Source organism: Homo sapiens, chromosome 12, assembly GCF_000001405.40.
Source record: "Homo sapiens chromosome 12, GRCh38.p14 Primary Assembly".
NCBI classification, from domain to species: Eukaryota; Metazoa; Chordata; class Mammalia; order Primates; family Hominidae; genus Homo; species Homo sapiens.
The window spans coordinates 128,445,588-128,469,673 of record NC_000012.12 but is presented as its reverse complement, the minus strand read 5'-3'; the positions used below and the strand labels follow the sequence as shown (position 1 = coordinate 128,469,673).

The window sequence follows — 24,086 nt, the reverse complement described above, 5'->3', positions numbered from 1 at the left end:
ATATATATATACACACACACACACACACACACAAACACACACACACAAAGCATACAAGCATACAAAAATGCATGTTGTGGCCAGGCATGGTGGCTCATGGCTGTAAAGCTGGGTGTATCTCTCGAGTTCAGGAGTTTGAGATCAGCCTGGGCAACATAGCAAAACCCTGTCTCTACCAAACATACAGAAAGTTAGCTGGGTGTGGTGGTGCATGCCTGTAGTCCCAGCTACTTGGGAGGCTGAGGTGGGAGGATCACCTGAACCCAGGAGGTCGAGGCTGCAGTGAGCCACTGCACTCCAGCCTGGGCAACAGAGTGAGATCCTGTCAAAAAAAAAAAAAAAAGCATGCTTTATGATATTACTTGTGTGCACTCACGCTTATATATATGATCTGAGTCATAAAGTAAAATGTGTCTCTGTGCATGATCAAAAAATGAGAAACCCTGCTTTAAATGCTATCTTTATTATCTGAAACACCAGATCTCTTCTGGAAATGGCTTAGGCTGCCAAGACAGAATTAGGAAATCAGAGAGAAATGTTTCCATTTCCTCATGTCACGAAAACATCGTAAATGATCCCTTTTGCTTCCCCTACAAGTCTGATGTAACTTCAACCAAGCGGTATGGTTGCTATGAGGGATGTGTTGAATTCTTTGTGTTTCTAACACCTAAGAAACAAGAGAGTTAGAGAACTAGAAGGAAATGGAGAAGAAAGAAAGTCCAATGTTTCCCACATTGAGTCTGATTCATGATTTTTGTTAGAACCATGACGCATATACTGTTATTTAATATTTTAAACTAATTTTTTTAAAAGTTGTCTTAAGTAGTAATATCTGTACCATGACTCATTTGATGTGATAGTGTTTTCTTTTTTTCTAATACATATTCAACTAAATACATTATTATAAAAATAAAAAAGTTAATGTACCTTCTAACATTAGTGGTACACATGAGACATTTTGGGAAATTCTGACTTTGCCAAAGCCTCTCATGTTATTCTCCACCTTGGCAGTCAGAGATTTTTTGTTTGTTTGTTTGTTTGTTTAGAGTAAATTTGGTCAGGCGCAGTGGCTCATGCCTGTAATCCCAGCACTTTGGGAGGCCGAGGCGGGCGGATCACCTGAGGTCGGGAGTTCCAGACCAACCTGACCAACATGGAGAAACCCGGTCTCTACTAAAAAAATACAAAATTAGCCTGGCGTGGTGGTGCATGCCTATAATCCCAGCTACTTGGGAGGCTGAGGCAGAAGAATCGCTTGAACCCGGAAGGCAGAGGTTGTGGTGAGCCGAGATCGTGCCATTGCACTCCAGCCTGGGTGACAAGAGCAAAACTCTGTCTCAAAAAGAAAAAAAAAAAGTAAATTTGGTCCCTTCCCCATAGCTTACTTGTGCTTTCAGGAGAAAGTCTAAGCCCCCTGCCCTCCCTGCACACCCCTCACTAGGACTTCAGGCTACGCTTCTAACTCCCATCATCCTTGTCACCCCGGGGTTGGTGTTCCCTCTGGACCGCTAGCCCTGCACAGTTAACGCCTTCCCTCTGCTCAACATGCATTCACTGAGGCCAACACCTGCTGAGCTTCAGCACTGAGTCAGACATTGCGTCATCACCAGATACCTCTCTGCCCTCTACTCCCTATGGTGCCGGATTCCCCATCCCCTCCAAGTGATGTCCTTGCACACTGCATCACAGAGCACATGTTTATCATAGGTTCACATACCTGTATGACCGTCTGATTGATGCCCCTCTCCTCCACCGGACTATAAACCTCATGAGGGCGAGGAGCATCCTGGTGTAACACATGATGGGCACACATCAAATGTCTGTTGAATGAATGAATGAATAGATGGATGGACAGATGCTTGTGCCTGTTTTGCAGATGGGGAACGAGAATGCTGAGAAGAACAGAGGGCAGCTTGCTCCAGATGCAGCTGATCGGAAGCTGAGTATTAGAGCTCCAGTCTGGGCTCTTCATCCTGCTCCCTCCCCCATGCTCCATTCTTGCAGAAACCTTTCCCTGCTTCCTTTATCACTGCTGTGTTAAGATCCAAAATCTGGACCTGACCCCTGCTACTGCGAGATGGAGAGGCCAACTTGGAGCAGAATTGTTCCAATTCATGGACTAACAACAACAAATGGAATGAAAAGAAAACACAACGAAACAGCTCAGTTGGCTCACAATCATCCATAACAATTGCTTATGATTAGTCATCTCATTAAAATATAAACCAATTTAATTCAGCCATTTAAGCAACAGCCCAAGACAGCCCAGCCATTATCATCAAAAACTCCATAATGCTCACCCTCTACAAGACATGACAATTTGGCATTTGTATTAAGAATATGAATTTCATGCTGGGATGGAGAAGAAGATCTCTGGCAGCTGCCATTCTCCCATTGTTCCTGGGTGCCAATAGCATCTCTATTAATTTCCTAAACAAAGCAGTGAAGAAACCACCCCAACATACCCGGAGTCTGAGATGATGGCACATATAAATAGTTCAGAAGGAGGATTTTCTATCAAATTAGCAACATGTCTGATGCTTGCACTATGAACGCCATGAGTTCCCAATTCCATGGGAGGTTTCAACAATTCCACTGTCCCTGCCTGACCTTCCAGCTGCCTCACATCTTCTGACCTTCACCTGAAAGCCCCTCTTCCTTATCATGTTGAAATCCTACTCCTTCCACAAGTGCTGGCTCAAAAGCTCGGCAAAGTCTTTATCAGGTACCAGGATGAAGAAATACCTCCCCTCAGCACATTTGCAGCTTTATCTCTTCCCCTATGTAGCCAAGTGTCAGGGCTCCAAACCTGAATGTCCAAGGGGACTAGGACAGGTCATATAAAGAAGTGTACCTGGCCAGGTGCGGTGGCTCATGCCTGTAATCCCAGCACTTTGGGAGGCCGAGGCGGGTGGATCACCTGACCCCAAGAGTTCAAGACCAGCCTGGGCAACATGGTGAAACCCTATCTCTACAAACAAAAAACAAAAATTAGCCAGGCATGGTGGCACGTACTCAGGAGGCAGAGGATGGAGTATGGCTTAAGCCCTGAAGGTTGAGGCTGCAGTGAGCTGGGATTGCACCACTACACTCCAGCCTGAGCTGCAGAAGACACAGTGAGACCCTGTCTCCAAAGAAGAAAAAAGTGTAGCCCTCCAGGTGCAAAAAAGTCATGACCTGGTGGAACGATTGGGCTCCATTTGGCTCTAAGCAATCCATTATTCTCAGTTGCCATAGGTAGTCAGAAAGTTGAATTTTCAAATGAAAAGTTTAAATCTTGGCCATTAAATTGGTAAAATGTAAATTTTATATAAGCCAAACAAAGCATGCTTGCAGGTCAAACTGAGCCAATGGCTACAGTATTTCTTCCCTCTGTTCTAGGATTTTGCTGACTCTCCAGCGGTTCTCTTCAAGGACAACTTGGATCCCTGGGTCTGCAGCTCCCAGAGGGAGGTTGTGCTGGCTCCTTCTTTCCTGTGCTCTCCCCTTCACACATGCTGGCTAGTTCTCCATCGCAGCAGCGGCATCGCTGTCTCATTTCTGGGCCCTTCTCCCACTTTGACTTCCACCTCCCCACCCTGTTCTGTCTTTATTTAAAACTTAGATATATGGTTCTATATGGGTTTTTTTGGCATTAATTTTGATTTTTCAAAAATACCTTATTTTCATGCAATGTTATCTTTACTCTGGAGTCTTTTGGAGGCCCCTTCAACCTCACTCCCAGTGCTTCACTCGCCTTCCCTTATCCCCGGGCCTCTCCTCACCTGTGCACATCCTCCTTCCCACAGACACACCCTCATCACAGCCCTGCTGCAAGGCAATCAGCAACCGGCTAACTGAGCACCCGGTGCCGCAGAACCACAGCTGAGAGCCTAGCATGCATGTAGTCAGGTTCTGCACCTTAACGCGTGGCATGCTTACTGCCACCCTTGAGGGTGTTCTTTTGGCCCTTGGGGCCCTCACACCACACCCAAGCAGGGTCTCACTCCAGTGCTCGTGAGGGCAGGCCTGGGTTCAGGGTAGGATGAGACAGGAAATCCCAGGCAGGCCCTCACCACGTGCCTAGGAGAATGGATTGTCCTGGTGTCACCTGGGTGGACGCCTGGCTGTGGACAGTGCTAGGCATGTCGAGTGTACTCATGAGTATCTCTCATGTGAATGAAGAAATGAAGAGGCCGGGTGTGGTGGCTCATGCCTGTAACCATAGCACTTTGGGAGGTCGAGGCAGGTGGATCACCTGAGGTGAGGAGTTTGAAACCAACCTGGCCAACATGGCAAAAACCCCGTCTCTACTAAAAATACAAAAAATTAGCTGGGCGTGGTGGCAGGCGTCTTTAATCCCAGCTACTCGGGAGGCTGAGTCAGGAGAATGGCTTGAATCTGGGAGGCGGAGCTTGTAGTGAGCTGAGATGGCACCATGGCACTCCAACCTAGATGACAGAGCAAGACACTGTCTCAAAAAAAAAAAAAAAGAAATGAAGAATGATCAGGATGATGAACAGCTTATCTATGTGGGTGTCTCCTCACCAGGGGTTTAAAGAAGGAGACATTTGGACAGAAGACACAGAACTCTGACACTGCTTATAGACCAACAAGCATAGGAGGACGTCTCAAGGGACGTGATTGCAGAAAGCACACCCAAGTCTTGGGAAAACGGGAAATTCCTCCCGGATTTACTCTCCTCCTTCTCTCCCCTCTCTGTGTCTGCTTCTGTCCTACTCTCGCTCATCTCCATTCACTCACTGGCATGTACACCCCTCACCGTTGTCCCTAAGTGGTACCTGAGGCCCTAATGCTCACACAGCCTTGCAGGTCTGCTCTTCTCATCTGTGTTATATTTTGTATTCTATTTATTTTCTTCCTTCCTCCCTCCCTCCCTCTCTTTCTCTCTTTCTTTCTTTCTTTCTTTCTGACAGGGTCTTTCTCTGCTGCCCAGGCTAGAGTGCAGTAGCATAATCATAACTCACTGAAGTCCCAAACTCCTGGACTTGAGAGGTCCTCCCATCTCAGCCTCCTGAGTAGCTCAGACCACAGACATGTGCTACCATGTCTAGCTAATTATTTACTTATTTATTCATTTTTTATAGAGATGGGGGTCTCAGTATTTTTCCCAGGCTGGTCTCAAACCATCCTCCTGGCCTCAAGTGATCCTCCTGCTTCAGCCTCCCAAAGTCCTGGGATTACAGGTGTGAGCCACCATGCTACATTCTATTTTCAAATGCCCTAAAAGGAGACAGGGTCAGCTCAGTCTGGGTGAGATCACCTGCTCCTGGTCCATCAGCTAAGGTCTGGGGACCTGGCTCATGCTGAATATCATCCACCCCCAACTAGGATGTGGGGAGGGCCAACTGTAGTGCATGCAGGGGAGAAAGGGAGGTCCAAGGCAGTCCTTGCCGTGCTGGTGTATCAGTCCTGAAGAGTGTTACCCTTGGAAGCACCATTTAATGCATGGGCTCCCTTTGCTCATGAACGGTATTCTCCAAGGCTGATGGTGGAGGAAAGATCAAAGAAACTAATGACTCACAATGGAAGTGGAGAACTGTTGCCTGACGTGACATCAGGAGATTAGGTGTCTAGACAGAACTTAGCTTGGGGACACTGTTGGCCAATCACTAAACAGGGTTTCTGGTCTCCTCCCTTGTCTGTTGAAATACCTGTGTTATTTAGGGGAGGGCCAGCTGCTGGAAAAAGTAAATGCCAGAGTGTTGGTGGTTTAACATGATACAGGTTTATTTATGACTCACACATGAATCCAAGGTGGGCCCGTGGCTGGAGGCTTGGTCTCCTGCACATGGCCATTCAACTCACATCTTGGAGTTTGCCCACTCCCTAGGACCTCGGTGTCCTCTGTATCTAGCCACAGATAAGGAGGGAGGGAGTAGGGAAGGCACACAAATGGGGCACAGAAGCAACACAGGCCAGCTCTGCTCACATTAGATGGACAAGAGCTGGTGTGTATCTCATGGCACACCGAGATGGGAGAGGAACGGGGAACACAGGCTCTAGCCAGGCAGGCCCTTCCAGGGACATGCTTCAATAAGAAAACGGAAGCATGGGCTGGGCGAGGTGGGTCACACCTGTAATCTCAGCACTTTGGGAGGCCGAGGTGGGTGGATCACCTGAGGTCAGGAGTTCCAGACCAGCCTGGCCAACATGACGAAACCCCATCTCTACTAAAAATACAAAAATTAGCCAGGCGAGGTGGTGCATGCCTGTAATCCCAGCTACTCGGGAGGCTGAGGCAGGAGAATCACTTGAACCCAGGAGGCGGAGGTAGCAGTGAGCTGAGATCGCGTCATTGCACTCCAGCCCGGGCAACAAGAGAGAAACTCCGTCTCGAAAAGAAAAAGAAAAGAGAAGCATGAGTTTTTGGTAAACCACCATCCCTGCCATCATAGATGCTGAAAGAAGAAAGTACCAACTTCCCCAGCTTCTACAGCAAGCAGATGAGGCCATCTGATATAATTGCGGTAGGTTATATATAAAGATGAGGCCATGTGATATAATTGCAGTTGGTGATATATAATTGGAGGTAGCCGGAAGACCTCCAGGCTAGCTTTTGCTTTTCTGATAAGAATAAAAGTCATAGCTTTGGCCAGGATGTCTCCTCTCCTCCTGCTTGAATGTCAGCTTGGAGTCTGTAGCAGCCGTCTGCAGCCACGAGCCAGACACCAAGTGCATGGCAGATACAAGAATCAAAGCCTGGATGTGGCTGGGCTGTTCAGCTGGGGCTACATACCTCCAGGTGTATTGATCTATGAGAAAAACAACCCACTATTTGTTTAAACTGCTGTTATTGGGGAGTTCTGGTACTTGCAGCCAAAAGCATTCCTAACTGTTGCACCCACACTGGGGCTCTCATCTTCTTTCTCTTCCTCCAAAATAGGTATTACAGACCTTCATCAAGGTTACAAGCATTCCTTTTTGTGGCTTACGCATATATGGGCCTGTGGACATTTTTGCTCCCCCTACTACTGATTTAGGGACTTTATACTTTTCTAAATGAAGTAAAATACAACAATAAAACAAGAAGAGATCAAAGAGTTAGAGTGTGGCTTTCCTTCAGGAGGAAGAGCTCCGAAGAATGCCAGATCCTTTCATGTCTTCACCGTGGTGAAGTTTTGTTTCTATAAAAATATTCAGGTTTTCGACTTCACATTACAAACAATTTTGGGAAAACCAGAAATAAATACACAAGAACGCAAGGGAAACCAGGAATGCTCAAACAGGGAAATAAAAAGTCTGACTACATCCTCAGGTCCGCTGATACCTCCACTGTCTCCCTGTTGGAATTCCACCTTTACTTTGGGAGGCCGAGGCCAGCGGATCCCCTGAGGTTGGGAGTTTGAGACCAGCTTGACCAACGTGGAGAAATCCCGTCTCTACTAAAAAATACAAAAATGAGTAGGGTGTGGTGGCTGGCACTTGCAATCCTAGCTACTAGGAGGCTGACGCAGGGAAAATTGCTTGAACCCAGGAGGTGGAGGTTGCAGTGAGCTGAGATTGCACCACTGCACTCCAGCCTGGGTGACAGAGCGAGACTCTGTCTCAAAAAAACAAAACAAAACAAAACAAACAAATAAAATAACAGATGCAAAGCAGAAGCTGTATTCATTCCCAGAGCTCCAAGGAGGCTGGATTTCACAGTGAAGAAGGCACCCACCTTCTGCTGAACACACAGAAAATGAGGCACCCGCTCCAATCCGATTGTGTTTGCAACACAAGCTTTTGCGGTTAGAATGAGGTGTCATCCAAATAGCACTGAAATCTCTGCCTGAGAAGCCTTTTTATGAGCAGGTCCTAGGTTAGGAACTCCATCACCCCTGGAGAATGGAGTTCTGGAAGGTGGGGCTTGGGAATTGAAGCAAAATAAAGGTAGAGGCCTTTGCTGGGGGCTTTGATAGAGAGTGACACACCACTATCACCACTATCACACACATCAACTTTGAATGAATTACTCAAAAAATTTCCCTGGGTGGGCACAGGCCTATGAGATCCTGACCTGGTGAACAATGAGGTGGGCTGGACATCAGTACCCATCATTCCCTCAATGGAGCCTGCTGGAGCAGTGAACAACCTGTACAACTGTGCACAGCAGTCCTGGGCCATGAGGAAGGAGCTCCCGGAAATGAGGAACAATAAAAACTTTGCTTCCCCTTTTAAGGGTCTCCCACTGACAGTCTTCAGGCCAAGTCCCTTTCTCAGACTGTTTTCTTTTTGTTTGTTTTGTTTGTTTGTTTTTGTGGGTGGGATGGGGTGGGGTGGTGATCTACACAGAGTTTCAAAATAACTCAAAGTATTTGAAAATGTCTTCGGATGGGGTCTGTGTGCACTTATCAATTGTCCATAGGCCTCCCCCACCCACAATGCTCCTTGTTCATGACGCTCCCTGCAGTGCACAGTTCTATGTCCCTTGTCTGGACTCCTGCGGCACCTGATGCAAGAGAATCAGAACATGTAGATTTTAAAATGCCAACTGCCTCTTCTTCCCCTCTTTGAATTAATAGCTGCCAGGAGCAAACTTTGAGGTGCAAGTTACACACAGAGAAGATAAATGGCTTTTAAATTTGGGTCACTGACAAGGTCAGCAATAGAATTCTGTTATTGTTATTTTTTTCTTTTTTTGCAAACATGCCTTCATTAACTTTCTTTTAAAAAACAACACAAAGAAGTCCCAGGCTTTTGATGAACACGCATCCTCTCCCTAGCTACTCATTTTCAAGTTAAGTCACCGTGGCAGGCCTGAGCCCTGGGTAGCTGGGGGCTGCCTCTGGTTTGCTGCCTTTTTTTCTTGGTAAGGTCTCTATCAAGCATTCCCCCCACCCAGCTGCTGAGCTGGGAAAAGCTCCAATGGCAAAATCCCAAACCTACTGATGATTGAGTATGCCAAGAGTGGAGTCCTGCGGGTTAGGACAGGAGGGTGCATGAATCTCCCTGATCAAATATGGCCACATGGAAAGCAGCTGCCCCTCCCTGCAAACTTGCATTCATTGACCAACATCTGTAGCTTTGGCTTGTCCAACGCCCATTCTCCCTTTTTCTGGTGACAACTTTTATTTTCTTTTGGGTAGCCATTGCTACTCAGTGGGGTGGCAATGAGTGGCACCGCCTGGGGCACTGGGACTGACCCATACTGTAGCTCTCGGGGTGAGAACGATACTAAAGCCAGGTAAAGTCATTCACAGGAATTGGTTCAGGAATAGCTGCATGGACTAATAGAAGCCACTAGGAAGCAGCTCCAAGACTTTGGCTTGAACAAGTGGACTTACTAAGTTGAAAAGACATAGGTCTGGATTTGCTGGTGGCCACCTGGCTACCCTGTGAGGAGAGGCTGCCTGAGAATGAAGCCATCACAGAAGAAAGCAGGGGTGAGAGATGGGTCTAAAGGCAGTCCTGGTGACACTGTCATTGGCCTTGATCCAGCCATGCCTGAAGTTTGTTCTACCACAGTTTTTATTTAGATGACCCACTATTTCCCCCTTCTTCTCCCCTAAGCCAGCTTGATTTGGGTTTCTGTCACTTATAAGTGAAATCACTCTAGCTAGTTATTCTATCTCCCAACGAGTTCTCTTCTGCAGAATTCACTGGGAAATTCTGACTAGTAATCTCCAAATTTGTTAACTACTAATATGAACCTTTATTACTTTTCAATCTGAGACTCCAGACTCTGCCCTCCCTGGACCTTCAGGCCTTATTTCAACACTTGCTGGATACCACTCGGAGGTGCCAAGAGAATCTCAAATTCAAATAAATTTAAGAGAGCATTCTTTTTTTTTTTTTTTTTTTTTTGAGACAGAGTCTTGCTCTGTTGCCCGGGCTGGAGTGCAGTGGCACAATCTCGGCTCACTGCAACCTCCCACTCCCTGGTTCAAGTGATTCCCCTGCCTCAGCCTCCCGAATAGCTGGGATTACAGGCACTCACCACCACACCTGGCTAATTTTTGTATTTTTAGTAGAGACAGGGTTTCACCATCTCGGCCAGGCTGGTCTTGAATTCCTCGTGATCCACCCGCCTTGGTCTCCTAAAGTGCTGGGATTACAGGTGTGAGCCACCGCGCCTGGCCCAAGAGAGCATTCATTACCTTCCCCTCAAAACTTGGTCTTCTGTCTGTTTTTCTTATTTTCACCAATGACACCACTATCATCCAGGAGAGAGACTTCCGAGTCATGCTCTATCTTCTAACTCCTTTTAACCCTGACATCCTACCACCAACTTCTATCAACCAACAACCAAATCCTAAAGAGCCCACTTCCTTGGTCTCTCAAACCCAGGTCCTCTTCTCTACCCCAGCCACAGTGAGCTCATTCAGGCCCTCCTGATCTCTCAGCATGGGTACCAGGCTCCTGAGGGAGGCTTTCATATGGCCAGCAGTGCAGAACAAAGACTCTGGTTCACATTCATGGAACTTAGATCCTTACTAACTGTGTGATCCAGGGCTCTCAATGGCTACATTCTCTCATCAGTCAAATATGGAAATTAGAGGTATGCAGAGAATGCTTACCTCCGCCTCCACTATTCCCCATTCTCTCCAAAGGGGCTGCTGGTCCAGTCTTCCCCTTCCATGCCTCCTCCAAGGCTGCAGTGGGACCTTCTAAATCCAGTTGTAATAACCTGATACTCCCCTGTCTAAAACCTCTTGTACTGCAGACTTCCAGTGGTCTCAATGATTTACCCTCAATTTCTTCTATAAGAAAAGAACCTTCAGTTTGTAGCTGGGCCACCTGGCCACTGGACTTAATGTCAACGAAAAACTACATTCCCCAGCCTCCCTTGCAGACAGGTGTCTAATTCTGGAGATGTTGGTGGAAGTGAAAGAGGCAATGTGTAGATGGAGCTCTTAAAACAGTGACGTGCCAGAGCAGCAAAGCCCAGCCTGTACTGTGAGTATCCCTTCCAGACTCCACATTCAGTTTACCTCATGTTGGTAGCTTGAAACTGGCGATGGTGGGAATATGTACACCATGGAAACTGGCAAAAGCAACCAATCAATCTCCCTGCCCCCCAGCAGAGATCTGGTTGTTAAATGCTTACTGGTGCACCACGGCTTTTATGTGAAGGGATGAGCCCTTCCTGTCCCATTTCTCCTCCTTCCCCATGATGGGAAAGGTGCCTGGTGGTAGTCACCGGGCAAAGGGGACCATGTTCCGGGGACAATGGAACAAGAATGAGAGGAATCCTGCGTCCCCAGCACCACGAAGTGATTACACAACCCTAAACTGCTCACAGCTGGATGGTATGTGAGCAAGAAAGAAGGAAATAAAATTAAGAAACTAAATTGTATTTTGTCCAAATCATTATTATTTTGGGTTTCTGTTATAGCAGTGTTTATAATATATACTATAATAAATATGTAATATATAATTTTAGTATAATTATATAATTACAATACTAAATATTATAATTATATAATTATAATACTAAATATTATATTATAATACTCACTCCATGATATATTATAATTATATAATTATAATACTAAAATATAAATATGAGATATTCTAATTATATATAATGATACAGAAAATGAATTATGATATATAATCAATCTACTAACTGTAATATCTCCCTATTGTGTACGACAGATATTTTTAAAAATGGGGTTCACTGCTAGGCTTTGTCTGGCTTATTCAGCAGATAAAAACAAATTGTTGAACTAAAATTGACATACTGTATTTTAAATATATGGATTTCTGGCTTCTTAGGAGAAACTGAAAGATTTGACAACTCCCACTGTCATGTGGCCGGCAGTGCAAAACAGGGACTCTGGTCCACATTCGTTGAACTTAGATCCTTACTAACTGCATGATCCAGGGCTCTCAATGGCTGGATTCTCTCATCAGTTGAATATGAAAATTAGAGGTAGGCAGAAAATGCTTATCTCCATCCCACTATTCCTCATTTTCTTAAACTTGGCCCATTTCTCTTGGACCTTTGAAGTTTGGCTGTATGACCTTGACCTGTAACCTCTCAGTGCCCAGCATTAACCTCAGTAAACTCTGCATAGCACTAGTGCCTACTTCATAGGTTGGCTTTGAGAGCTAAATAAAATATATACCATTAGGCATCACTAGACTGCCTAATTTTTTTTTTTTTTTTTGAGATGGAGTCTCGCTCTGTCACCCAGGCTGGAGTGCAGTGGCGCGATCTCGGCTCACTGCAAGCTCCGTCTCCCAGGTTCATGCCATTCTCCTGCCTCAGCCTCCCGAGTAGCTGGGACTACAGGTGCCCGCCACCACACCTGGCTAATTTTTTGTATTTTTTTTAGTAGAGAAGGGGTTTCACCGTGTTAGCCAGGATGGTCTTGATCTCCTGACCTCATGAGCTGCCTGCCTCGGCCTCCCAAAGCGCTGTTTTTTTTTTTTTTTTTACAGATGGAGAATCTCAAATTTTGATGACAGAATGCTGCAATCAAAACTCTCAAATAATGTTGGTGGTAGTGCCAAGTGGTGTAAAACCACTTTGAAAAACTGGCAGTTCCTAAAAAAAGTGAAAAATATGCTTGCTTACCCTATGAGCAGCAATTTCACTCCACAATATATGAAAACATGTATCCACACAAAAACATGCATATAAATATTCATAGCAGCTTTATGCATAATAGCCCAAACTGGAGGCCACCAGATGAATGACAAGCAAATCATAGTGTATTCATATAAGGAAGTGAGCTCTGCAATAGAGGAATGATATACTCACACATGCAACAACATGGATGAATCCCCAAAACACGCGGAGCTAAGGAAGCCAGCGAAAATAGTGTATTATGTAAGAATCCACTTATATGAAGTTAAAGAAGAGGCAAAACTCAACCATGGTGATAGAAATCAGGACAGTGGTTGCTTCGGCATGGAGCAGATGGGGTTATCTGGCAGGGAACATGGAGGGATTTACTGGAATAATGAAATTGTTCTATGTCTTCTTAGAGGTATGGGTTACATGGGTGTATGCTTTTGTCAAAAGTAATCAGAGGCTAGGAGTGGTGGCTCACGCCTGTAATCCCTGCACTTTGAAAGGCCAATGTGGGCGAATCACTTGAGCACAAGAGTTTGCAACTGGCCTGGGTAACATTGTGAAATCCCATCTCTACCAAAAATACAAAAAATTAGCCGGGCACGGTAGCAGGCACCTGTGGTCCCAGCTACTTGGGAGGCTGAGCTGGGAGAATCACTTGAGCCTGGGACATTGAGGCTGCAGTGAGCCAATATCGAGCCACTGAACTCCAGCCTAGGTAACAGAGCAAGACCTTTGCTAAAAAAAAAAAAAAAAAAAAAAAAAAAAAAAAAAAAAAAAAAAAAAAAAAAAAAAAAAAGGCTAATCAGACCATAGAATTAAGGTCTGTGCAATTTAATGTAGTAAATTATGTTAATAAAAATAAGGAAAAATATGAAACAAGAAAAGTCCACGCAAATCACGCAAACATCTCTGAAGACTGCATCGGGTCTCAGATTTAGTCTTTGTGTGTCTGCTGTCAAGATTCTGTTGCCTGAAACTAAGAGAGTTGGTTCCTGAAAGAGCCCACGTGGTGTGTAGGCTGCCATTCTCCCTCTGGTGCAGGGCAGATGTCAACAATCAACGTCCTCCTCTCTCCTTCACTCAGGCATGGCCTCAGAATCCTCCTCAACACATCATCCCAAGCATTTACTCCAAATAGAGCAAAGCTGACGTATTTGCCATCTGGTAGTAGAAACGTGAGCTTCCAGAGTACAAGACTGAAATCTCATTTATCTTTGTTTTATAAACACTCAGCACAAGATGTGACACAGATGTTTTCTGAATCCATGCTGCAGTGAACTTCCTCTCCTTGCTGCTGGGGCCACAGTCTGAGCTCACAGGAGCCAATCTACCCCCGGGCTCCCCCACAGCCCGTAAGTCGGCCTGGATTACTGTGCCCTGGCCCACACCTGTTTTGTCTTCGTTTCCTTGGCTGTTCTCTCCTAGGGCTGGGAGTGCACAACCTGTCATCTATAAACACCAATACAATGGATGTCATGTTTACTTATCACCCACAGAACAAGATCATACGTTTCTATTATAATATGTTTCTATTCATGATCAAAATGACTTGTAGTGGAAAATCTGCTTTCCCCAGCAATGGGAGTAAGGAGCACTCTCTCCTGAACACGTTTACGGTCACATACATATCTCAGTGGGAGAAAGGGTGTTTCTCTCACGATGAATAAGGCTGCTCAGCCCCATCCTGCTTACTGGTTCCCTTGTCATCTTTCAGGACCACAATACTGCTTCAGTAGGTCACATATTCCCCTCCTGAACCTGAGCACAGACGGCCGGGCTGCAAAGCATGCACTTGCCTCCAACCTTCCCACTTCTGTTTCAGAAATTAACCACCTCCTCCGTGTGGGTAGAGCCTGGTCTCGAGTGAAACTGAATTCAGTTGGCAGACCCAGTCACTGCAGACCCACTTAATTGGATTTGACCACCATGATTTATTTACCCAGCAGCTCTTTGCTTCAAGCTGTAATCACACCTTAGACTCATCTTCTCTTGAGCTTGCTTGGAGTACCAAAAATTCAGATTTTTCTTGACACTCTGTAGTCACAGCAGAAAAGGGAAGGGCAAGGGAGAAATCATGAAGGACTTAGTTATATGGCCTCAACTTTCTACCTTTCACACTTAATTTGGCTGATTTTGTGGACATGAGGAGGAAGAAAATCAGCATACAGTATCTGAACCCTGCCACTGCCCACAGGCAAGTCAACCCCACCTGCTCTATGCCTCTCGGCCAATTTTAACAGGGGACAGGATCAACTGCCTTCTTCAGAGAGACTGCAGGCTCCTGTCTCTGTGACAACCCGTCCTCAGGACCAGGGCAGGTGAGACATCAGAACTCAAGCATGTGTTGGAAGCCAGGGTACCTGTGAATATCGGTTTGCACACAAACCTCTTCTTGAATCTGTCTGCTATCTTTGCTTTGATTCTCCTGTTTTGGGGTTGGATCACACATGGTGGAAAGTCCAGCTCAGCATCCAGCCAAGGGTCAGTGTCAACTCCAAGCCATATAAGCGCTCCATCCTGGAGGTCCTATCCAGGGGGTCTCTCAGGAAACTTCAGCCCCGGCGAACACCTCTGCATCCTCCCTCATGGGAGACCCCAAGTGAGAATTGCCCAGCCAAGCCTTGCCCCACAAAGTTAGAGGCAAAACCAAATGGTCATTTTAACCTTCTATATTTCTGAGTAATTTGTAAACAACAATAGGAATCAGAAGACCAATCACATCAACTTCTGGAGCTGGGGGTGAGATTCACGTTTCCTGAAGTATAGGGATAGGTGAGAAAGAGCAAATCCATGGACCTGAACTTCATTAGGATTCTGCTAAGATGAAGGAAGTGGATGCTGGGTAGGCCACCAGTAGTATTTTCCGTAACTTTGAAAAATTCAGAGCATTAACCTCCTGTGGATTAATATGTGCAAAGCATTAACACACTGCAGGCATATAATAAGGACTTGATAAATGATAGTTATTTCTATTATTATTATTCGATGTGTGAATGTGCTTAAGAGTTTCTTATATACCTTCCCAAGGAGCTCACGAGTACACTTTGGTTATCTTGTCTATATCCTTGTGGACCTAGATGGGCAAATATATGCAGAAGGAAAGAAGCATAAATCTTCCTTTCAAATCAAAAGGGCCCCCTTCGCTAGATCTTTTTCATGTTAGGTCTTTTGCCTCCTTCTGTACCTTCTGACCTGTGGTCTCCACACATCTCCTTCACGTGTCACAGCTGTCTCTCCCCATACTGGGATTTTTTTAAAAATCGAACATAATTGTTGAGATGTTGAGGCTTGTCGTACAAAACCTATCATCTTTCTTGGCTTTCTATAGATGGCCAAAGAGCCAATTTTTCTCCCCTTCCTTCTTCTTATTCTGAAACTGCCCCAGCCCCTGCGGGGTGGTGCCTCACCTCCCAACACACACACAACCAGCCAGAGTCATCCACTTTTTTCTATATGCTTCCAACCTGCATGCGCTGGTTTGCTCCCAGCTCCAGAAGGTGGATCATAGTAGATTTTTACCAAAGATGGCTGCCGCCCTCTTTCCCACCCTTCTTGTCTGCTTGCAACATGACTTTGTCACTGCTCCCATCCAGAGTCAAATATCCCTTTCCTTGATTCTGGGCTGGCTCAGTGTGACTCTTTGAGCCCAGCAGTGTCTACATTTGTTCTCCTGGAACACCGTGCGGCCATGTCAAGAAGCCCAGGTACAAAGCTGGTGAGACACAGGAAGGGAGAAACTAGAGAGGTTGAAAGACCACAAAGGGAGAAGCTCAGCAGTCCAGCCACTCCCGTGGGAGACCAGACACAGGGTGAGGTCATCTGAAATCCTTCACCTTAGATTGCAGCTGCATGAGAAAATCCAGCCTATGCCACATGGAGCAGAGACAAGACTGCCAGTTGAGCCCTGCCTGGCCAACCCAGAGAATCAAGAGCCGGTGAAGCAGCTGCTTGTTGAATCCACTGTGCTCTGGAGTGGCTGCTATGCAGCACTAGAAAACGGAGTCAGGCAAACCACCTTCGCAGGGACACTCCGTCACACTGCAGTCACTAAAGAATCAACACGGTCTTGTCTGCCATTTCCTTCTTCAGTTATTATTTTTGGAATAGAAGGCAGGTATTAGAAGCCCCCTGGAAGAGCCAGGTGTGTATCCCCATCTTTCTATATCCATATACTACCATTTCTGTAGTTTACATAATGTTTTTCTTTACAGTGTGCCTTTCTAACTTACACATTTACTACAAAATACAACTTCATATTATCTTCATAAATGAAAAACTCATGCTACTTGATAAAAAATGAAAGTCCACCCTAACGATACATATGTAATTATGACCATTTAATTATTAAATGGTATACTTATAATTAATATCATTTAAAGATCTGGATCGGTGGACAGCCAGAAATGCACAAATCACATTCTGGAAACATTGCCTTAAGTTTTGTTTTTGGTTTTTTTTTGAGATGGAGTCTCACTCTGTCGCCCAGGCTGGAGTGCAGTGGTGTGATCTCAGCTCACTGAAATCTCTGCCTCCCGGGTTCAAGCGATTCTCCTACCTCAGCACCCGGCCCCCTACAACCCCCCCACCAACAGCAGCTGCGACGAGAGGCACATCACCATGCCTGGCTAATTTTTGTATTTTTAGTAGACACAGTGGATCAAGTGATCCACCCACCCCGGCCTCCCAGAGTGTTGGGATTACAGGTGTGAGCCACCATGCCCAGCCCACATTGCCTTAAGTATTAACACACTTGTGAAAATTGCGACCAGGCGTGGTGGCTCACACCTGTAATCCCAGCATTTTGGGAGGCCGAGGTGGGAGAATCGCTTGAGTCCAGGCTTTCTATAGATCAGCCTGGGCAACACGGCAAAACCCTGTCTCTAAAAAAAACACAAAAATTAGCTGGGTGTGGTGGCGCATGCCTGTAGTTCGAGCTATTACTCGGGAGCCTGAGGTGAGAGGATCGCTTGAGTCTTGGGAAGTGAAGGATGCAGTGAGCCATGATCGCACCACTGTACTCCAGCCTGGGTGACAGAGTGAGAGAGACCCTGTATCAAAAATAATCATAATCATAATTGCATTTTTTTATTTTTTAAAAAATAAAAGAAAATTGCTTGGCCTGCATTTCGACTTCCTTCTCTTTTTCAAATTGTTTCTGGATATAAGACTTGGTAAATAATACTTAAAATTTAATTTTTGTTCTTTCAACTTATCACTGTATTTTTAAGTGATTTTATTTTGTTGTCTGGTGGTCGTCCACCTACCCATAAAGTGTAAGCTCCACTGGGTCCCTTTTTTTGTCTGTTCTGCTCACTCTTGACTGCCCAAGGTGGAGAGCTAACACTTAGTAGCTGCTTAATAAATATGTATTGACTAAAGGAATGAGTGAATAAATTAATGACTTGTGGCACAAAGCCTCAAACTCACCCCACCCATCAGGAGGAAACTTGTTTGATTTTTAAAGACTCTCCTGGGAATTTCTTTTTCATAAATCAATATTGTTTGTACAGACCGAAAGTGCAATGCTTACTCCCCTTCAAATTTTAGTCAGTGTCGCAATACATTTTTGATGGTGTATTTATTTTCTGCCAAGTAACAATAGGTCTCATGAAAAATGAGTGGCCCTGCACATTGGAATGTGTGAGGAAGAATAATGGGTTGATTAATGAACCTCACAAAATATGCAGCCCTCTTTCCTGCCGGGGGTAGCAGGCGGAGACTCACACAAATTAAAAAGGATGAAGAGGATCAATTTTCTAGAAATCAGAAAGTAAAGGAAGCCTGGGAAAAATCAAAGGCACATTTTTAGCTGTAGATGCTTGTGTCTTTTCTTTCTCTTGAACTTAGGACAAACAGGAAAAACAATATTTCTCCCTTTTTTTCATTTATTATTTTATCTTGTCTTCCTCTGGTGCTCAAGGATAGAAAAGGGCAGTCTAGAAACGTAATACTGGTTTATTTTTGTATTTTTTTTCTAAAACAGACTAACCCCTTAGTAGCCAAACATCTACATTTTTAGCAAAAGTAAACAGCAAAGAACCCAAATCTCTGATACCAATCTTTCAATGGGGCTTTTACTCTCTGGCTAGAGAGCCACAAACAAGAAACTTTGAATCTGTTTTTGTTTTCAATAAAAATCTTGTTTAACAGCATCATGAATATTCATGCTTTCGGCTTACTTCCAAATAAAAACAAGAGAAGCCAAATGAAACAAGAAAAAAAGAAAAAGTAGTTCACTCAGCTGCACAAAGGTTTGAAGGACAAGATTTTATGTTTTGAGGCATATGCGCCAATTAATAAAAAAGAAAAATAAGGAGAAAAATAACTCGTCATAATCAGAGCACAAAGGGTGCCAGCATCCACAGCAGAATTCCTTGAATTTCCGTAATTGCCTTATTCATTTTGCAGTATTTGCTATATTTGAGAACCAACTATCTCATTATTTATATATTTTTCTGTATACCGAATTCAACCAAACTCACTTTTAAAACATGCAGCCTCACTTCCTTCTGTGCCATCAATAAATTTGATAAGTGAATTATATTTTTTCTTATGCATATGAATACAAATCATAATTAGTAAATAAAAGAAGTGTAACTAAAATTTGGTATCTTACCAGTGGCATGCCTACCATGTTTTTGGAATTATTTACCATAGCCTAGGGCATTTTATTGGTCTTTAATCATTCAACTGTCATTGATGGGTGACCCTCATCTGCTGAGGGAATTGGAAATAAAACAGTGAGAAACATAGGGTCCCTGATCTCAAAGGCTCTCTCTTTGGTGCAACTCCAACTATAAAATGAGTTGGTCTTATTCTATCATTTATTTTTGACCTTGAACACCCAGAAGTCAGGAGTTCAAGGTAGGGCTTCTTAATGTTCCCTGCTATCCAATATGATAGCCAGTAGCCACAAGTGACTCTTAAATTTAAATTAATTAAAATTAAATAAAATTAAAAGTTTAGTTCCTCCGTCAAATGAGCCATGTCAAATGCTCAATAACTACCTGCAGCAAGTGACTGCTTATACCAGGCAGCACTGATATAGACTATTACCACCACTACACAATGTTTGACTGGCTAGCTCTGCTCCAGAAAGCACAGTGCCTTCCTTTCACACCACTGAGCTACTTTTAGTAACTCACTTGTGAAACTCAGGGCCCTACATCCCTCTCTAGGCAGGCTGGGATCGTCAAATCTTCATAGGTCTTGTGGACATTTCCCTAGAAAATTCTAGCATCTATTGCATGTTAAACTTGATTCCACTTCCTAGTAAGTTGCCTTGTTTCTGCTTCTGTGTGTCAAATGCACTTCCTTCCCTGGCAAAGAGTTTCGACATGGAAACGTCTAGTCACCTTCCTGGGAAGCAGCAGCTTTATTTACTTTAATCACTGCATAGCTAAGGAGACACCTGTCAAAAAAAACCACTGCTATTTTTGAGACAATGGGATTCTTTACAGCATGATTAGTTTGTACTCTGATGGGTGACACTGTAACAGAGTCATAGCCAAGCCCAGTAAGATTGCATCTTCACGCCTTGCACATTGGAAAACTGTCATGACATCCTTCATAATGGAATTATGATAACATCAGACAAGGATGAGGTTTCATCTTGGCTTCAGTCCAAATGGAGAAGTCATCCTAATAAACTGTAAACAGACCCAAAGCATGAACTAATAAGAAGTTATCTGGTCTACTTGTTTCTAGCAGTGGAGTAGGTTAACACAATTAACTTAATGAAGTCAAAGACTTAGGCACTGAAATACTATAGTAGACACTGTAAACAAAAACGCCTCCGGGGACCAGGAAAGTAATTTCAGTAAATGAGCAGGCTTGTCTGGGAGGCACTATAGGGAGTGACTGGAGCTACGATGGAGCCGAGAGCACATGCCCCCCAGAGCAGCCTTCTGGCTCCAAACTCTTGGAGCAGAAAAATGGGCTCAGTTTTCAGACCCTCTGATTTTTAAGGTAAAATAAGAAAACAGATTCTAAATAAAATTTCTTTTTTTTTTTTTTTTTTTTTTTTGAGACAGAGTCTCGCTCTGCCTCCCAGGCTGGAGTACAGTGGCGTGATCTCGGCTCACTGCAAGCTCTGCCTCCCGGGTTCACGCCGTTCTCCTGTCTCAGCCTCCCGAGTAGCTGGGACTACAGGTGCCCGCCACCGCGCCTGGCTAATTTTTTGTATTTTTAGTAGAGACAGGGTTTCGCCGTGTTAGCCAGGATGGTCTCGATCTCCTGACCTCGTGATCCGCCCGCCTCGGCCTATAAAATTTCTTAATTTTTAAAATATGACACAGGCCCAACAAAACACTCCTTCAAGCCACCAGACTCTAACCCATGTGCTAAGCAAAGTTAATACGAATTGGTTAATAAATAAGAAACGAAGAGTATAATTGCATGTTCAGGTTATCCCTTATGGTAGATTATAAAAGAGGGCGTATTTTGCCTTCCCTGTATCCAAAAGTCCCTTAGCAGTTTGACTCTGAAGCTCCTCCTATTAAGAAGTGGGATCTGTTTCCCCATTCCATAAACATGGGATGGACTTGTGATTTGTTGTGGCCGAAAGAAGGTGGCAAAAGCAGTGTTATACCAGTTCCAATCCCGGGCATTGGCTCGACTCTTTCTCTTGGAGCCCTGGGACTTCCATGCAAACAAGCCCAGGCTGGCCCGCTAGAGTAGGACACACAGATGGCCCTGAGGCCCCCATCATCCCAGATGATAGCCAGTCGACCCCTATAAGCAGAGCTGCCTAGCTGACTGGCAGTTGACCTCAGACAAATGAGTGAGCCCGGCCAAGAGCAGAAGACCTGCCCAGCGGAGCACAGCACAAATGACAGACACGGAATTGCAAGGTAAAGAAATAGTTGTTGCTCTAAGTCATGTGGTTTTCGGAGTGGTTTGTTAGGCAAAAAGCTGCATAACAGTTCAGTAGCTATATCATTAGGGTTCAAATCCCAGCTCCACCAACTACTAGTTATGTGATTTTGAAACAGTGATGTAACCTTCAATGCCTCCCACCAATTTTCACCAGTGACAACAACAACAAAAAAAATTGTCTTACTTTTACCACATCTAACATTCAGCAGGTTATTTGTTTCAGAAATGGGAGAATGCGGTGGGATCGTTTTAGGAATTATATTACTATGCTTTTCTAAAAAGCACTTGACCCAGCACTTTGGGAGGCCGAGGCGGGTGGATCATGAGGTCAGGAGATCGAGACCATCCTGGCTAACAAGGTGAAACCCCGTCTCTACTAAAAATACAAAAAATTAGCCGGGCGCGGTGGCGGGCGCCTGTAGTCCCAGCTACTCTGGAGGCTGAGGCAGGAGAATGGCGTGAACCCGGGAGGCGGAGCTTGCAGTGAGCCGAGATTGCGCCACTGCAGTCCGCAGTCCGGCCTGGGCGACAGAGCGAGACTCCGTCTCAAAAAAAAAAAAAAAAAAAAAAAAAAAAAAAAGCACTTGAAATAATATCATACGTCTAGGAGTGTGGTGACTCTGACTCTTACTCGCTTATGAAGGCCAAACGTTAAATGAGAAATTCAGTGAGCCAGTTGGCAATTTGAAATTAATCATAGTGGGAGTATTTACACCTGAGAAATGGGCAAATGCTATGCATAAGGGTTTCTATTTTCCCCTCCCTGAAGAGCAGGTTGTTAAATATTGACCAGAAAACCTCTGTATGCCTTCCTTATATACTAATCAAGGCAACAGGTATAGCCTTTTCTTTCATAAACATTTGTTTTAGAACCTCAGCATCCATTTCCTTCCCTGATGGCACCAAATTATTTTCAGGGAATTACCTCTTGCCTGTTGTATAACGTCTTGATAAGACAGTAATTTTAAGGGACCGGAGGTGGAAAGAGCCGTATTCTTTCTCTCCCTGCCACAGGACAGCCAAAGGATGGTGTGTGGCCAAACTCAGCCAATCATGCTTCTTCCCTGGGAGCATGATGATTAAGTAAGTGGACACAGGCGCAGGAGGGACAGGGGCGATCACTGGTCACAACAGCTACAAGCAAGTGGCCATTTTTGAGCCCCAGCTTTCCAGCACTGCCCTGAGAGCTGTTTCCACGGCCCTGAGAGCTGATTCCACTCCTTCCATGCACTGCCCAGTATGCTTCCCAAAAGTTCCCTTTTCCTTAGCACACGTGTACCAATTGCTGTTGCTTGCAACAAGAGAGACCTCAAAACTGGATTTGGAGACATTTCTCCTACCTTACTCTAGGCCTAGTTCCTTGGACTTTTGCATCCCACAGGCTCTGTATTCATTTATGCATTTTGTATCTGTCTATGCAGCAATGAAACCACTTCTTAGAAAACAGCAGAGCAATCAGTCCCCAGAGGCAAAGTATGATGGCATTATTAGGTCATTTCATAATATATCGCTGCTTCAGTAATGACTGAATGCAGGTTGGAGTGGCTGAATTACCCCAGCCCTTCTGAAGCATGGGGTCCCATGCCTGATATAATGGGAGATGCAAAAGCAATCAAGGACAAAGACAGCCTCAGAATTTAGAGGTCTGCAAAGCTAATCTACTTAAAGTGCAAACCCATGCTGTTTTCTTTTAAGGTTACTATTGACTCCAGTCAATAGGTGTTTGCTAAATAGTTGATTAAAGAACTGAGATGGAGAAATTTAAATGCCTTTGAGAAAAAGGGAGAATGGACAACTCATGATCAGGAAAGTTTGGCATTTGCAAATGTGTGGCCTCCAGAGTCAGGAGTTAGACTTTCTTACGGAAGACGCTTGGCATTTGTGGGCTCAGGGACATCCTACATTCTGTCTGAGCCCTAGCAGTTGTCTGTGGCTCATGCCACCAAAAGGCTGGTGCACCTGTCTGCATCCCTCATGGCCCAGCATCTAGAACTTCTTAGATCTGAGACTTGAGCTCAGCATATAATGACGACCTCAGAAGGAGGTAGCTCTTCCCCACTGTCACTGCCCTGTGAGTTTGACTGCTGTGAAATTGCCGCTGATTTCACCCTGGTCATGGGGAGAATCCGGCATTCACGCTGATTGAAAATGGGGCCTCCTTACTGAATCTGAGAAGGCAAATAATTTCGGCTGAAGATACATGTCCAAATACTGACAAGTCTCACACCATCCCCCGTTGCTTTTCTTTTTTCATAGCATGAGTGGGGAAAAGGACATAAAGGAAAATGCCGCATGATGAAGTTGTCAGAGGCTTTGTAGATGACAGAGATTAAGTATCTCACGTTCATTATGACTCAATTATTGTGGTTCTCTGGTGCTTTGTGGCCTCTGCTTTCATGTTCTACAAACAGGGGCTTGGCTGCCTGTCTGAAGATAGAGCATTCTAGAAGCAGCGTGAAGTCCCCAGGGGTGAGGGGTGGGGGGCTTTTAAATCACCATTTACTCTATTATGGACAGTTACTCTTATTCCCCGCAGACTTTTCAGCAAGTGCCAGGGCACTGAAAGAGATGCTCCCTGGAGGTTTGTAAACACCAGGCACTCAGAGTGAGCCCTTCATGAACAAGCCTGGGAAGTGTCTCCAGCGGCAGCCGCCTGGGTGCTCAGCAGAGAGACTGGGGATGGTCCGCGGAGCTGAAG

At 44.9% G+C, this 24,086-nt stretch overlaps 1 protein-coding gene across 3 annotated transcripts in view, besides 2 other annotated features; it reads right to left on the bottom strand.

Annotated features, from left to right (window-relative positions):
• The window catches only part of TMEM132C (transmembrane protein 132C), a 440,742-nt gene that overhangs the window by 238,238 nt on the left and 178,418 nt on the right, over positions 1–24,086 (bottom strand). The window lies entirely within an intron of this gene.
• Positions 9,534–10,486: an enhancer, noted in NCBI's record as "OCT4-NANOG-H3K27ac hESC enhancer chr12:128943733-128944685 (GRCh37/hg19 assembly coordinates)". NCBI's record gives its function as "activates a minimal SCP1, AML or CMV promoter by ChIP-STARR-seq in naive and primed H9 embryonic stem cells {active_cell/tissue: H9 hESC(naive and primed)}" and the evidence as "EXISTENCE:reporter gene assay evidence [ECO:0000049][PMID:30033119]".
• Positions 10,487–11,439: an enhancer, noted in NCBI's record as "OCT4-NANOG-H3K27ac hESC enhancer chr12:128942780-128943732 (GRCh37/hg19 assembly coordinates)". NCBI's record gives its function as "activates a minimal SCP1, AML or CMV promoter by ChIP-STARR-seq in naive and primed H9 embryonic stem cells {active_cell/tissue: H9 hESC(naive and primed)}" and the evidence as "EXISTENCE:reporter gene assay evidence [ECO:0000049][PMID:30033119]".